The following is a 17,499-nucleotide window of genomic DNA, read 5'->3' as shown; positions in this document are numbered from 1 at the left end:
GAAACACAAAGCCATCAAGGTATAAATGGCATCAGGGGTAATCTTGCCTATAAATATTTTCAAATTTATAGCCTTGGGTGGGAAGAACATATTGTGTGAGGAAATACAGTGTGAATAAATGGAAATTGTGCTCCACTGAAGTAAGAAAGGGGAAAATATAGTTTTATTTCTCGCCTAACATTTCGGCATCATGATATCCCTAAGCGTGCAGCCATAAATCTAAGAGGAATCTTAGGAAATGGTGTAAAAGATTTCATTGCTAATCTGTCAGATTTTAGAATTCCCTTCATTGAGTCAGGAGAAAAATCACACAGGGCAGAGGCAAACAACATGACCAGAAAGCCTGGGGGAAACTTTGGCTTTCCTGGTCATATAGTGCAGAAATTTGAAATTGTGAAGAAATGAAGACCAATGTTAAATTACTCTTATTTAGAGAGAGTGATGTGTAAAGGTCCAGATGTTTGATCATTGTCAATCCATCTTTTATTTTTATTTCATTTCATTTCATTTTGAAACAGTCTCCCTTTGTTCCCAGGCTGGAATGCAGTGGTGCAATCTCAGCTCACTGCAACCTCCACCTCCTGGGTTCAAGCGATTCTTCTGCTTCAGCCTCCCAAGTAATTGTGATTACAGGTGCATGCCACCACACCTGGCTGATTTCTGTATTTTTAATATTTTTGTATTTTGTATTTTTAGAAGTGAAACCAACCGGGTTTCACCATGCTGGCCAGGCTGGTCTCAAACTCCTGATGGCAGGTGATCTGCCCACCTCGGCCTCCCAAAGTGCTGGAATTATAGGTGTGAGCCACTGCGCCCAGCCCAATTCGTCTTTTAAATAAGGATTTTTATCATCAAATGAGCAAAATACATAAAGAATTATCATGAATAAGCCTACTATTGTTTTCTTTGCCTCAACAAAATACAAGGCCATATAGAAACAATTTTTCTTTGACCATTATGGATTGTTGGTTATATAGCATGATATCATTGCCCAAAGATAGTCAGTATTCAAAGTTTGTTATCTGTAACAATAAGAATTACTATGTCATCATGTGGTTGGAGGCATTGAGATAATATAGATAAAGTAAATTGCCAGATTCTTGATCCACACCTGTTGCTCAATAAATAGCAACTAAAATAATTGTTCTGGATTCAAGGAGAAAGTTTCAAACTTTGTCTTTGAAAATGCAAATTTTAAATTTAATGCATACATATATACATATATTTGGGTTTATTATTATTTCTTTCATATACTTTTCAAAGACTGCGGGCTTTTATTTTTTCTTTGGAGTAATTTTGTTCTTTTACTTAGATTTAATAAGTTTTACTATTTTATTTTCTTTGTTTTTTCTCTATATAGATATATATCATTTATTGTTATTTATATATCTATGCACAAAATTTTGTTGTTATTTTCAAGACAGGATGTGGCTCTGTTGCCCATGCTGGAGTACAATGACATAATCTTGGCTCACTGCAACCTCCACCTCCTGGACTCAAGCCATCCCCCGACATTAGCCTCCAGAGTAGCTGGGACCACAGGGACGTGCCACCATGCCCACTTACTTTTTTGTAAATTTTTTGTTGAGTCGGGATTTTGCCATGTTGCCCAGGCTAATCCTGAACTCCTGACCTCAGGTTATCCACCCACCTCAGCCTCCCAAACTGCTGGGGTTAAGGCATGAGGCACCAAACCCAGTCCACAAACTTATTTTTGCTGTTCCGCGTATCTCATAAAATCAATGGCATTCTCCAGTATAACCTCAATATTATTATACTTAACAGATTTAATGTTGATATTGTATTATTTAATATATGGTTCATATTCAAATTTCTCTAAGTATTGTTTTTAGTTTTAAATTTTTTTCTGTCCCTGCCCCCTGCCATTGTATGTAATTGAGATTCATGCATTGGGTTTTCTTGTCATGCCTCTTGGTTTTCTTTAATCCAGAACAGTCCTCCTACTTTGTTTTTTTACATTTGGTATTCCATGACATTTATAATTTTGAAGATTCCAAGCTAGAGGGCTTTTTGAATATCTAACATTCTGGATTTTCCTGATTGTTTCCTTATAATTAAAAGATTAAATATCTTTTGTAGAAGTGCTATGAAGCTGATATTGTATCCTCATTGCGTTGCACAGGAGTCACGTCAAAGCAGTGGTTTGCTGGAAGCTGATTGCTAAAAAAAAGTCTCAAGAAGTCTCTGAGCTAGTTGTTAAACATGGTCATTATTAAACATTAAATTATGTGAACTAGGCTGGGCGCGGTGGCTCAAGCCACTTTGGGAGGCTGAGGTGGGCAGATCGCTTGAGGTTAGGAGTTTGAGAACAGCCTAGCCAACATGGTGAAACCCATGTCTACTAAAAAAATACAAAAATAGCTGGGCATGGTGGCACGCACCTGTAATCCCAGGTACTCAGGAGGCTGAGTCAGGAGAATTGCTTGAACCCACGAGGTGGAGGTTGCAGTGAGCTGAGATCATGCCACTGCCCTTCAGCCTGGGCGACAGTGAGACTCTATCTCAAAAAAAAAAAATTATGTGAACTCACAAATAATAAGTATTAAGCAAATGTAATAGATACTAAAATTTCATTCCTTCTTAATTATTTTACCAAATTTACATCTGTCATGGAGATAATACAACACAATGCTCTCTTCTAAACTCCGCTTTCAGTGATGTCACATTAATAGCTGGAAGTAGGCCATTGTGCAGTAATTACATTGCAAGAATTGGCAAATGCTACACATCAGAACATGGTTTATGATACTGATTGTCAGAAAGTGATGGAGAAAAGTGTTAATAATGTAGACTAAACTTATATTTTGCTGTGTGTATAACAATTACCTTGTAACACCAAAAAAAAAAAGTGAAGAAATTACTATTTAGTGTTTGAAAACTATTATCCAATTTAGTAAAAAGTAGCTTATGCCATGATTAAGTTCTGGCATACATCTTTATTGTTTTTTGTTGGTCTTACTCATTAAGGTAAACAAACATATTAACCAACATCCATGTTAGAACTACACTTATTCATCACTTAACAACCAAAACATGAATTGAAGACAATTTGGCAATAAAACTGAAAATATTCTTTGAGAATTGATTTATTATATGCAGTTTACAATAAAGAGTATTATATGTTATTTGTAAATTGTGTTACGTGGCCTGGCGCGGTGGCTCACGCCTGTAATCCCAGCACTTTGGAAGGCCGAGAAGGACGGATCACAAGGTCAGGAGATCGAGACCATCCTGGCTAACATGGTGAAACCCCCGTCTCTACTAAAAATACAAAAAATTAGCCAGGCGTGGTGGTGGGCGCCTGTAGTCCCAGCTACTTGGGAGGTTGAGGCTGCAGAATGGCATGAACACAGGAGGTGGAGCTTGCAGTGAGCTGAGATCGCACCACTGCACTCCAGCCTGCGCGACAGAGCAAGACTCCATCTCAAAAAAAAAAAAAAAATTGTGTTACATATCGTTTCTATTAATATTTGTAAATATTATATAAGCATTTTGCCCTTTTTATATGCATGTGTTTTAGAGTCAATTGTTAAACATTTAGCAGAACACCAGTGCATGCAAGCTATTTTGTTTCAGTAATGATAGATAGGTTTTACTTAGTAAAGGCGGTGTCTGCAATATCTCCGCATTGTGAAGAAACACTTTTTCTTTTGTTCTTAATTATCTGCTTGAGGATACTTAGAGATCATAGTAACATCCTTGTTGTTCAACAACACTTTTACCTAATGAATTTAGCATCCATTGATGATTCTTGCTTTAATCAATTAGTACATTACTGGTAGCAAAATAGTGATTTTATTTTATTCTTTCTATATGTTTTAGCTGTGATTTTTCTACAAAGAAAAGCTGTTTCAATTTCTCTCTCACTGTTACAGATGGGATTGATGAAATGATTTAATACATTAACACTACTGAAATCATTAATTTTTTTAGCTAATTTGTCCCAAACATTTTTAGGGGAGAACTTTTAAACTAGCTTCTCTGTGTTTTTAGTCATGATCTCTAGGTTTGGGGCAGTTTTTTTGCCTTCTCGCCCAACAAAATATTCAACGTTCATTGCACACATTACCTTAGCCAGAAAGAACCATATCTCCAAACAGTTCTAGTTCCTTGTAGTGAAGAATTATATTTAGTCATCAAAACCTCGGTGTTATGTGTTTTTGTTGCAATTGAGGTGTCATTCTTTTACTGTTACTAGCTAAGAAATATTGCATTATGAAAAATAATACCTCTTATTCAAATATAAGATCAAGAATATTTTCTTATCATTTTTCATTCCAGTTCAGTATCTCTTCTTACATTAAGAATTCTAGTTCTCCAATACAACAATATCTTTAAACATTCACTCTATCTACAATCACACAAAATATTTTCAGAATCATTTTACCAGTACCATTACCATGTAAAGTTCAAGATTCTTTTGTTATAATATTTCCAACCAAGAGTGTACAGAGTACTGTGATCAAAATTTCCTTGACTTAAATCTTTGTTTTTCTCTGTTAATAACTATTAGGATCAATTCTTATTTTTATATTTAATTTATGGTTTGCTGTCTTAAAAATGTGTATTTATTTTGTGACATTTTGACCTTTATATGAATAAAAAATCACCACAGATACAAACGCATGCTTGCACAAGTCTGATACCCATTCTTAATTCTTTCATCCATTCACACCTGCATCTTGTAGTTAACCATTTTGGTTAATGACTAATTATCTACCCTATGTTTCTGTTTGAAAGCAAATATTCTTAAATTTCCTTCTTTCATACAGAAAATGCTTCTGATACCTATATATTCTTATACTTGTTTTTCCCACTTAATTGAACATCTTGAATATCACTTCTAATTATCTCATACAAATCTTCCTCATCTTATTTTTAGTACTACATAGTAAACCATGTAATTTGTTTTTAATATTTTCTATAATATCTACAAATAATGAACTTCTCATACAGATTTTTTATAGAAATTGCCAAAGATTGATTTGTATCTTAGAAAAAATAACTGTTACAATCTAACCACCAGTGCATGAAAGTGCTATTTCTCCACAGCCACACCAACAGAGTGTATTATTAAGATTTTAAATTTTTTGCTAGTCTAACAGGGTGGAAATGACATATTTGTGGAGTCTTAATACCTCTTATTTAAAATGAAGATCACTTTAATGTTCTTTTTTCTTGGTTTTTATGAGTTTTTTATACATTTAGAGATATTAGCTTTTTATCGGAGTTGCATGTTGTCGATATTTTCTTCTAATTATTTATAGTTTGATTTTGACTGTGGTGTTTTTGTCATTCAATTAATGTTTAATATGCCTGTAGTTGAATTTATCAATCTTTTATTTCATTGCATTGCATTTTGAGTCTTTGCTAGAGTTTACCCAAATGAGGATGTAAATAATTTATCCAGATGTTCTTCTATTTCTGTATGTTACTTTTCTATTAAGTTAGATTTTTAAAAATTCATGTGAAGTTTATTCTGCTATAGAGTATGTTGTTCACATCCATTTTATGTCAAGCCTAATGAGTATACAGTTTTCCTAACCTCATTCATTTAAAAAAGTCTACCTTTTTCAAACATTTTTGAGATTTCATCCTTATTACCTGCCAAATATAGATTTATTTCTAGACTTTCTTTTATTGTTACATTGTGCTGTGGATATGAGAACCAGTATAGACTGATTTCAGATCACCTAGTGTATATTTTCATTTCTAATTGGGCTAATCCCGCTTCATCGACTTTTTTTTTTTCCAGGATATTCTTAGATGCTTTCTCGCTTTATTTCTCTCTTTCTTCTGTTTTTTTTGTTTTTTGTTTTTTGTTTTTTTTTTTAAGACAGACTCTCACTCTGTCGACCAGGCTGTAGTGCAATGGCGTGATCTCGGCTCACTGCAACCTCCAACCCCCATTCAAACAATTCTCATGTCTCAGCCTCCCCCATAGCTGGGATGACAGGCGGCTGCCACCACGCCTGGCTAATTTTTGTATTTTTAGTGGAGATGGGGTTTCGCCATGTTGGCCAGGCTGGTTTCGAACTCCTGACCTCAAGTAATCCACCTGTCTTGGCCTCCCAAAGTGCTGGGATTACAGGCATTAGCCACTGCACATGGCTAGATATTTTTCCCACAAGTTTTATTCCAGAAAAGTATCTTGTAGTATTTTTATTAGGATAGGATTCAACTATATTAACATAGGAGAATTTACATATTTGTGATGTTTATTTGTAGATCATGGGGTGCCTTTCTATTTTTTTTCAAGTACATTTTGTATGTTCTGGAGTTTTAAAAAAATGTTATTTTAGGTGCTGGGGTACTTGTACAGGTTGTTATATAGGTAAACCTGTGTCACGGGGGTTTGCTGTACAGATTATTTCATCACCCAGGTACTAAGACAAGTAACCAACAGTTATTTTTCCTGATCCTCTCCCTCCTGCCACCGTCCACCCTTTGGTAGTCCCCAGTGTCTGTCGTTCCCCTCTTTGTGTCCATGAGTTCTCATCATTTAGCTCCCACCTATAAGTGAGAACATGTGGTATTTGGTTTTTGGTTCCTGCATTAGTTTGCTAAGGATAGTGTCCTCCAGCTCCATTCATGTTTCTGTAAAAGACATGATCTCATTCTTTTATATGGCTGCATAGTATTCCATGGTGTATATGTACTGCATTTTCTTTATTAAATCTGTCATTGATGAGCATTTAGTTTGATTCTATGTCTTTGCTATTGTGAATACTGCTACAATAAACATATGCATGCATATGCCTTTATGGCAGAATGATTTATAGTTCTTTGGGTATATATCCAGTAATGGGATTGCTGGGTTGAATGGTAGTTCTGTTTTGAGATCTTTGAGGAATCAGATCTTCCACAATGGTTGAACTAATAATTTACACTCCCACCAACAGTGTATAAGCTTTCCTTTTTCTCCACTACCTTGCCAGCACCTGTTATTTTTTGACTTTTTATTAATAGCCATTTTGACTGGTGTGAGATGGTATCTCATTGTGGTTTTGATATGCACTTCTCTAATGATCAGTGATATTGAGCTTTTTTTCCTATGCTCATTGGACGCATGTATGTCTTCTTTTGAAAAGTGTCTGTTCATGTCCACTTTTCAATGGGATTGTTTGCTTTTGTCTTATAGATTTGTATAAGTTCCTTATAGATGCTGACTATTAGACTTTTGTCAGAAAATATTTGCATAATTTGCAAATATATTCCTCAATTCTGTAGGTTGTCTGTTTACTCTGTTGATAATTTCTTCTGCTGTGCAGAAGCTCTTAGTTTAAGTAGATCTTATTTGTCAATTTTTGCTTTTGTTGCAATTGCCTTCAGTGTCTTCGTCATGAAATCTTTGCCCCTTCCCACGTCCTGAATGGTATTGCCTAGGTTTCTTCCAAGGTTTTTATAATTTTAGGTATTACATTTAAGTCTTTAATCTATTTTGAGTTGATATTTGTATACTGTGTAAGGAAGGGGTCCAGTTTCAGTCTTCTGCACATGCCTAGCCTGTTATCCCAGCACCTTTTATTGAATAGGGAGTCCTTTCCCCATTGCTTGTTTTTGTCAACTTTGTCGAAGATCAGATGATTGTAGATGTGCGGCCTTATTTCTGGGCTCTCTATTCTCTATTCCATTGGTCTGTGTGTCTGTTTTTGTACCAGTATCATGCTGTTTTTGTTACCATAGTCCTGTAGTATAGTTTGAAGTCAGGTAATGTGATGCCTCCAGCTTTGTTCTTTTTGTTTATAATTGCCTTGGCTATTCAGGCCTTTTTTTGGTTCCATATGAATTTTAAAATAGTTTTTCTAGTTCTCTGAAAAATGTCATTGGTAGTTTGATAGAAATAACATTGAGTCTACAAATTATTACTTTGTGCAGTGTGATCATTGAGCATGGAATGTTTTCTTCATTAGTTCACATTTATTGATCTGCATATGTTGAACCAACCTTGCATCTCAGGAATAAAGCATTCTTGATTGTGGTGGGTTAGTTTTTTGACGTGTTGCTGGATTTTTGCTGGTATTTTGTTGAGGATTTTTGCATCAATGCTTATGAAGGATATTGGCCGGAAGTCTTCCTTTTTGTTGTGTCTCTGCCAGGTTTTGGTTCAGGATGATGCTGGCCTCATAGATTGAGTTGAAGAGGGGGCACCTCCTCCACAATTTTTTGGAAAAGTTTCAGTAGGAAAGGCACCAGCTCTTCTTTGTGTGTCTGGTAGAATTCAGCTATGAATCCGTCTGGTCCAGGGCTTTTCTTCTTCTTCTTTTTTTTTTTTTTTTGGTAGGCAATTTATTACTGATTCAATTATAGAGCTCATTATTGGTCTGTTTAGGGATTCAGTTTCTTCATGGTTCAGTCTTAGAAGGTTGTCTGTGTCCAGGAATTTATCCATTTCTTTTAGATTTTCTAGTTTGTTTGCATAGAGTTGTTCATAATAGTCTCCGATGATTCTCTGTATTTCTTTCTTTTTTTTTTTTTTTTGTTTGTTTTTGAGACGGAGTCTTGCTGTGTCACCAGGCTGGAGTGCAGTGGTGCGATCTGGGCTTACTGCAACCTCCACCTCCCGGGTTCAAGCAATACTCCTGCCTCAGCCTCCTGAGTAGCTGGGACTACAGGTGCGTGCCACCATGCCAGGCTCATTTTTTGGCTCGTTTTTTGTATTTTTAGTAGAGACAGGGTTTCACCATGTTGGCCAGGATGGTCTCGAACTCGAGACCTCACGATCCTCCTGCCTTAGCTTCCTAAAGTGCTGGGATTACAGGCGTGAGCCACAGTGCCCGGCCGATTCTTTGTATTTCTATGGAGTCAGTAGTAATATTCCCCTTTCTGTTTCTGATCGTGTTTGCTTGGATCTTCTGTCTTTTCTTTTCATTAGTCTAGCTAGCAGTTTATCTTATTAATTTTTCCAAAAAAAAAAAACAGATCCTGATTTTGTTGATGTTTTGAATGGTTTTTCGTGTCTCAGTCTTCAGTTCAGCTCTCACTTTAGTTATTTCTTGTCTTCTGCTAGCTTTGGGGTGGGTTTTCTCTTGCTTTTCTAGTTCCTTTAATTGTAATGTTAGGTTGTGAGCTGGAGATCTTTCTAACTTTTTGATGTAGGCATTTAGTGCTACAAATTTCCCTCTTACCACTGCTTTAGCTATGTCCCAGAGATTATGGTGTGTTGTATGTTTGTGGTGGGTGCAGGACTATGTGTGCCCTCTGCATGTGTTCATGCTGGCATGGTGGCCGCTCAGGGCTGGGGGCAGGTCACTGTTCTGTGTGCCTAGTTTAGCACTGATGGCAGTGTTGGCACAGGGGCAGGATGCTGGCAGAGGTGAAGCAGGCAGGTTTCATGCCTGCCAATGCTCCTAGGACAATGGTGGTGTGGTGGGGAGAAGGGTGGTGGGGTACCCTCATGCAGGCAGTAGTGGCATGGCATAGTGCAGGGTTCATGTGCACTGTCGGGGAAGTAAAAGCAAGATCCAACCCAAGGGCACACATAGGCACTGGCTAAGTGATGTGGGGGGGTGCCTATGGTGTGTTCATGCAGGCACAGTGGCTGGGGGAGGCTGCAGTGAGGGGAGGACACAGATGGCCTGGTGTGTGTCTTGGGGGCCACTCTGCAGGAGCACTCTGCTTATCAGGTGCAGTCCACAAGAGCAGGAGCTATGATGCAGACACCCACAGGTACCTGGGGGCTGCACTGCAAGCAGGCACGGCCAGGCTGGGGCCCCAGAAGAGGCCAGTAGACTGAGGGTTGCCCAGGTCTAATCAACCCCATCTCAGAGGCAAGACCGCCCTGCAGAGTTCACGTTCAACAGTTCTCCTATGGCTAAAGTCTCCTATGGAAGCAAGTCGAGCTTAAGGTGATGGGTGTCCCTGGCCATGCTGCACTACAGACAATCCCACACCAAACCCTCTGGGCTCCACCCTGGCTGGAGTTCTGATCCTACCACTTCTCTAAGCAGCTTTCCCTGGCAACTCCAATGCCATGGTGGTTGAGGAATTTCATCCTGCCAGTATTCCAGAGGCCCAATGTGAGAGTAGCTTGCTGCTTGCCTGTACCTTAATAGAAGTTTTTTGTTTGTTTTTGTTTTTTGAGACAGAGTTTCACTCTTATTGCCCAGGCTGGAGTGCAATGGCACAATCTCGGCTCACTGCAACCTCCACCTCCCAGGTTCAAGCAATTCTCCTGCCTCAGCCTCCCGAGTAGCTGGGATTACAGGCATATGCCACCACGCCCAGCTAATTTTGTATTTTTAGTAGAAATGGTGTTTCTCTATGTTGGTCAGGCTGATCTTGAACTTCCGACCTCAGGTGATCTGTCCTCCTCGGCCTCCCAAAGTGCTGGGATTTCAGGCATGAGCCACTGCGCCCAGCCAAGTTTTTTTTTTGTTTTTTGTTTTTTTTTTAAACAGACTATTTTTTAGGTTCACAGCAGAATTGAATAAAAGTTACAGAGATAGCCTCCACAACACACACACACACACAAACTCACACAGCCTTTCCCGTTATCAACATCCTCCACCAGAGTGGGTACATTTGTTTCAATTGGTGAACCTACATTGACACATAATTTTTGCCCAAAATCTGTACCTTACATCAGGGTGTATTCTTGGTTGTATAATTTATGAGTTTGGACATTAAACACCATCATAATGTAATGAAAGTAGTTTAACTGCCCTAAAAGCCTTCTGTGTTCTGCCTATACATCCCCTCCCTCTAAGCCCTGGCAACTGTTGATCTTTATTGTCTCCATAATTTGCCTCTTCCAGAATGTCATATAGTTGGAATCATACAGTATGTAGCCTTTTCCGACTGGCTTTTTTTTTCACTTGGTAATATGCATTTAAGTTTCTTCCATGTCTTTTTCTGGCTTGGCAGCTTTTTTTTCATGCTTGTGTCACTGAATAATATCTATTGTCTGGATGTACCACAGTATATCTATTTATTCACCTACCAAAGGAGATCTTGGTTCCTTCCAATTTTTGGCAGTTATGAATAAAGCTGCTATAAATATATGTGCAGGTTTTTATGTGGACCTGGCATATTTGAAAGTTTTTCTCAGAGAAATTTAGCTCATTTTTTCCAAATTTATTTTTAAATAAGTTGTTATTTCTATTGCATTTGTAAACAGATTATTTTCTTTTCTCTATATTGACTAAGTGATTATTGTTTGTGTATATGAAGATTAGTAACTTTTGTATGTTAATGTTCTACCTTGTTAGTTCCTGAATTAAGAAAATACTTTATCTTATAAAACAGTTCTAACTGTTTTTCTTTTCTTTTTTTGAGATGGAGTCTTGCTGTGTCACCCAGGCTAGAGGACAGTGGTGTGATCTCAGCTCACTGCAACCTCTGCCTCCCAGTTTCAAGCGATTCTCCTGCCTCAGCCTCCCAAGTAGCTGGGATTACAGGCGTCTGCCACTACGCCCAGCTAATTGTATTTTTATTAGAGATGGGGTTTCACCATGTTGGCCAGGCTGGTCTCAAACTCCTGACCTCGTGATTCGCCCGCCTCGGCCTCCCAAAGTACTGGAATTACAGGCAAAACAGTTCTAGTTTTACAGAATAATTGAGAAGATAGAACATAGCGTTCCCATATGGCTTATACCCTTATTATTAACATCTTCATTCATATAGTACTTTTGTTAAAAATTAATAAGTGCACATTGTAATATTAAGTTCATGATTTATTCAGACTTCTTTAGTATTTATCTCATGTCCTTTTCCTTTCCTAGCCCTCTATCTAGGATATTACATTGCGTTTAATAGTCATGCCTCCTTAGTCTTTTCTTGGCTGTGACAGTTCTTAGACTTTCCTTGTTTTTGCGAACTTGACAGTTTTCAGGAATACAGATAAGAGATTTTGTAGGATGTCACTTTATTGGAATTTGTGAGTTTGTCCTTATGATTAGTCTGGGAATATGTGGTTTTGGGAGGAAGACCAGTGAGAAAAAGTACCATTTTTATCATATCATTTCAAGTATTGATATTAGGTATTGCTGTTGATGTTGACATTGATGACCTGGCTGAGGTTGTAGTATCTACACTATAAAGTTTATTTCCCTTTTTTTTTTTTTTTTTTTTTTGAGACAGAGTCTTGCTCTGTCGCCCAGGCTGGAGTGCAGTGGCGCGATCTCAGCTCACTGCAAGCTCCGCCTCCTGGGTTCACGCCAGTCTCCTGCCTCAGCTTCTCAAGTAGCTGGGACTACAGGCGCCCGCCACCAAGCCTGGCTAATTTTTTTGTATTTTTGGTAGAGACGGGGTTTCACCGTGTTAGCCAGCAGGATGGTCTCTATCTCCTGACCTCGTGATCCATCCACCTCGGCCTCCCAAAGTGCTGGGATTACAGGTGTGAGCCACCGCGCCCGGCCATTTTCCCCCTTTTCTACACTCTACCCTGGACAGAAGTCACTATGTAGCCCACAGTTAAGGAGTGGAAGTTATTTTCCGCTCCTTGAGGGCAGGCTATATAATACTTTGGAATTATTTGGAATTTACTTGGAATTGCTTTTCAGGGTATATTTGTATATGTTCTTCAATTTATTTATATATTCAGTCATTTATTTCTATCACTATGGACTTATGGATATTTAGTTTATACATTGGGTTAGAATTCCATATTGCTTTGTTTATTTTACTGCTCAAATTATTCCAGATATGGCTATTGACAACTCTTTCAGTGTGTACTTGCAGATTTAAATTTTTTAGTTCTTCCTTATTTTTTGGCAGTATCTAATACTTCAGGTTCTTTCTATATATTTCCTTCCCAGTCGTAGAATTAGCATTTCTCTAAGGAGCCCTGGCCCCTTTATTGGTGAATGGTATCAGAAACCAAAATCTGAGTGTCAGCCATGCTTGTTGCTGCTAAGGTGTCATTTCTTTTAGGTGACAGCTGACAGAGCAAGGGAATATATGTGTGCATACTAACTAAGGTAAATCCACATGTCCATAAATGTTTCTACATCTGTATCTATATTTAGCTAAACATGAATTTATATTCTAGCCTTCTTCCCTTGTTCATCTATAAACTTCTATTCTAACAATGAAAAACCTGACTCCCATCACCATCATTTGTTTACCTAACTGTTTAATTTCAGTACACTAGTATAACATTATGAGAATCATTAACCTGTACCCTTATGGAAAGTAGCTTTATCAAGTGCAGCATATTGCTTACTGGTAATTCCTTTTGACTTCAGTCTTATGGATTACATTAATTTTCAAAGTTTATTAGATCAGCAACTTTTCCCTCTCCATACCCCATACAGTGAGATTATTTGTTACAATCAGAACATGTGTAAATAATGTTGTCAAACTTTGCATTCTTTCCTAGGATCCTAGCCCTCCTAAATGATTTTTTCAAAACTTACATAATTGAGGTTTACTCTTTGTGCTGTAAATTTCTATGGCTTTTGACAAAGGTATGTCATGTATCCACCATTAATATATACAAAATTGATTTACCAGTCAAAAAAGGCCTGCGCTTCACCTATTCAATCCTCCTCCTCTCGCCTTGAATCATTGGCAGTCTCTCATTGTTTTACTGTTCCTCTAGTTTTGTTCTTTTCAACATACTGTTCAATTGGGATCATATAGTCTGTAGCCTTTTCAGGTGGGATTCTTTCACCCAGCTATAAGCATTTAAAGTTCATCCAGGTGTTCTCATAGCTTGATAGTTCATTTCTTTATATTTATGAAGAATACTCCATTCTAAGCATGAACATCTCTGTCTTTTAAATGATGCTGCAGACCTTTCACATTTAAAGTGATTATTAGTATTTCTGTTTTCTATGAATTACCTCTGTTGTTTTCATTTCTTTTTTCTTTTCTACCTTCTCTAGTTTTAATCATTGCATATGGTTTCTATTTTGTTTTTTATTGTCAGCATATAACTTATACTTTTCTTAAAAAACTGAGTACTTGCCCTAGAGTTTGCAATATACATTTACAATTAGGTCCACTTTCATAAAACTGCTTTCTGGGTAGTAGGGTCATCTTTCAATACAGTATTCTCAATTCCTCCCCTCAACTCTTTATAATATTGCTATCATTCATTTAATTTACCTCAATGCTACAATCATACAATATATTGTTACTAGTATTATTTTGAACAAATGTTACATATTAGATCAATTAAAAATAAGAAAAAAAGATTTAATTTTACCTTCATTTAGTGCTTCTCTGATGTTCTTTTTTTAGATCTAAGTTTCTAACACATCATTTCCCTTCTCACTGAAGAACTTCTTTTAATGTTTCTTGAAGGGCAGATGTGCTGGTGATGAATTTTCCAAGATTTGTTTGTCTGAGAAAGTTTTTATTTCTTCTTCGTTTTTGAAGAATAATTTTGCTGTGTGTAGAAATGTAGAGTTCTTTTTCCTAATTGACAATTCAAAAAATTTACTCTACTCTCTTATTTGGTGATATGGTTTGGCTGTGTCCCCTCCAAAATCTCATATTAAATTGTAACTCTCACAATTCCCATGTGTCATCGGAGGAACCTAGTGGGAGGTGATGGAATTAAGAGGGTGGGTCTTTTCTGTGCTGTTCTTGTGATAGTGAATGAGTCTCATGAGATCTGATGGTTTTAAAAAGAGGAGTTTCCCTGCACAAGCTGTCTCTCTTTGCCTGCCTCCATCCATGTAAGATGTGACGTGCTCTTCCTTGCCTTCCTTCATGATTGTGAGGCCTCCCCAGCCATGTGGAATTGTAAGTCCATTAAACCTCTTTCTTTTGTAAATTGCCCCATCTCAAGTATTTCTTCATCAGCAGTGTGAAAACAGACTAATACAGTAAATTGGTACCAGTACAGTGGGGTGCTGCTGAAAAGATACCTGAAAATGTGGAAGTGACTTTGGAACTGGGTAACAGGAAGAGGTTGAAATGGTTTGGAGGGCTCAGAAGAAGACAGGAAAGTGTGGAAAAGTTTAGAACACCCTATAGACTTGTTGAATGGCTTTTACCAAAATGCTGATAATGATATGGACAATGAAATCCAGGCTGAGGTGGTCTCAGATGGAGATGAGGAACTTGTTGGGAACTGGAGCAAAGGTGACTCTTGTTATGTTTTAGCAAAGAGACTGGCAGCATTTTGCCCCTGCCCTAGAGAGATTTGTGGAACTTTGAACTTTAGAGACATAATTTAGGGTATCTGGCAGAAGAAATTTCTAAGCAGCAAAGCATTCAAGATGTGACTTGGGTGCTGTTAAAGGCATTCAGTTATATAAGAGAAGCAGAGCATAAAAGTTCAGAAAATGTGTAGCCTGACAATGCGATAGAAAAGAAAATCCCATTTTCTGAGGAGAAATGCAAGCCAGCTGCAGAAATTTGCGTAAGTAATGAGGAGCCAAATGTTAAGCACCAAGACAATGGGGATAATGTCTCCAGGGTATGTCAGAGGTCTTCATGGGAGCCCCTTCTATCACAGGCCTGGAGGCCTAGGAGGACAAAGTGGTTTCGTGGGCCAGGCCCAGGGTCCCTGTGCTGTATGCAGCCTAGGAACTTGGTGCCCTGCCTCCCAGCTGCTCCAGCCATGAATAAAGGGGCAAATGTCGAGCTTGGGCCATGGCTTCAGAGGTTGCAAGCCTCAAGCCTTGTCAGCTTCCACATGATGTTGAGCCTGCCAGTGCACAGAGGTCAAGAATTTGGGTTTGGGTACCTCCACCTAGATTTCAGAGGATATATGGAAATGCCTGGCTGTCCAGGCAGAAATTTATTGCAGGGTGGGGATCCCATGGAGAACCTCTGCTAGGACAGTGCAGAAGGGAAATGTGGGGTCAGAGCCCCTATACAGAGTCCCTACTGGGGCACTGTCTAGTGGATCTGTGAGAAGAGGGCCACCATCCTCCAGACCCCAGAATGGTAGATCCACTGACAGTTTACACCCTGTGCCTAGAAAAGCCACACTCAATGCCAGCCCATAAAAGCAGTCGAGAGGGAGCCTGTACCCTGCAAAGCCACAGGGACGGAGCTGCCCAAGACCATGGGAACCCACCTCTTGCATCAGCATGACCCGGATGCGAGACATGGAGTCAAAGGAGATCATTTTGGAGCTTTAAGGTTTGACTTCCCTGCTGGATTTCACGCTTGCATGGTGCCTGTAGCCCCTTCGTTTTGGCCAATTTCTCCCATTTGGAATTGCTGTATTTACCCAATGCCTGAACCTCCATTGTTTCTAGGAAGTAACTAACTTGCCTTTGATTTTACAGGATCATAAGCAGAAGGAAATTGCCTTGTCTCAGATGAGATGTTGGACTGTGGACTTTTGAGTCATGCTGAAATGAGTTAAGACTTTTGTGGACTGCTGGGAAGGCATGATTGGTTTTTAAATGTGAGGACTGAGATTTGGGAGGGGCTGGGGTGGAATTATATGGTTTGGCTGTGTCCCCAACCAAATCTCGTCTTGAATTTTAACTCCTCAATTCCCACATGTCATGGGAGGAACCTGGTGAGAGTTGATTGAATTATGGGGCCAGGTTTTTCCTGCACTGTTCTCATGATAGTAAATGAGTCTCACAAGATCTGATGGTTTTAAAAAGAGGAGTTCTCCCTGCACAAGCTCTCTCTTTGTCTGCTGCCATCCATGTAAGATGTGACTTGCTTCTCATTGCCTTCTGCTATGATTGTGAGGCATTCCTAGCCATGTGGAACTGTAAGTCCATTAAACATCTTTCTTTTGTAAATTGCCCAGTCTTTGGTATGTCTTTATCAGCAGTATGAAAATGGTTTACACATGGTTTCTGATTATAAGTATCCTATCATTCTTATCCTTTTTTCACTGACTTCTTCAAGATGTCTTTGGTTTTCTGTAGTTGAATATAATATGCTTGGCTGTACTTTCTTGGTATTTATCCCGTTTGGTCTTCTCTGAGGTTCATCTATCTATAGTTTGTTATACATCATGAATTGCTGAAAACGATCAGCCATTATCATTTCAATGTTTCTTTTGCTTCATTTTCTTTTTTCTTTCTTCTATTACATGTAATGTATGTTACACCTTTTCTAATTGTTCCACACTCCTTGGATGCTCTTTATTAAGTAATTTTTTTTCTCTTCACATTTCAATTTGGGAAGTAGGTAATGACAAATTTCAAGCTCACTGATTCTCTTCTCAGCTGTGTCTAGTCTACTGATGTGCCTATCAAAGGCACTCTTCATTTTTGTTACAGTGATTTTGAATTTTTATATTTCCTTTTGATTTTTTTCTTAGAGTTTTCATCTCTCTATTTATATTACCCACTACCTTTTGTTTGTTATCTGTTTTTCCATTCTAGCCTTTATTAAGAGTAGTATTTTAAATTCTCTGCCTGATAAGTATAACACTGGTGTCATGTTTCAATCTGGTTGTGTGGGAAGTTGTCATTTATGTGATTAAGTATTTATAACAAAACCATAGCAATATGTTTTAATTTGTAATTGGAAGGAAACCATGAACATCTTTTGTACCAGAAACAATTTTACTGGTTGTCTAAGAGCAAATATTTTAAAAAGTTG

At 38.2% G+C, this 17,499-nt stretch overlaps 1 protein-coding gene and 1 long non-coding RNA gene across 11 annotated transcripts in view; one reads left to right on the top strand and one right to left on the bottom strand.

Annotated features, from left to right (window-relative positions):
- The window catches only part of CTNNA3 (catenin alpha 3), a 1,851,072-nt gene that overhangs the window by 1,624,228 nt on the left and 209,345 nt on the right, over positions 1–17,499 (top strand). The gene's annotated exons all lie outside the window — the stretch shown is intronic.
- Positions 1–17,499, bottom strand: part of CTNNA3-AS1 (CTNNA3 antisense RNA 1) — a 65,310-nt gene that overhangs the window by 5,183 nt on the left and 42,628 nt on the right. The gene's annotated exons all lie outside the window — the stretch shown is intronic.

The sequence above is a fragment of the Homo sapiens genome, chromosome 10 (assembly GCF_000001405.40).
Source record: "Homo sapiens chromosome 10, GRCh38.p14 Primary Assembly".
Lineage (NCBI taxonomy): Eukaryota > Metazoa > Chordata > Mammalia > Primates > Hominidae > Homo > Homo sapiens.
Note: the sequence above shows the minus strand (reverse complement) of the source record. Positions and strands in the feature narration are given on the sequence as shown.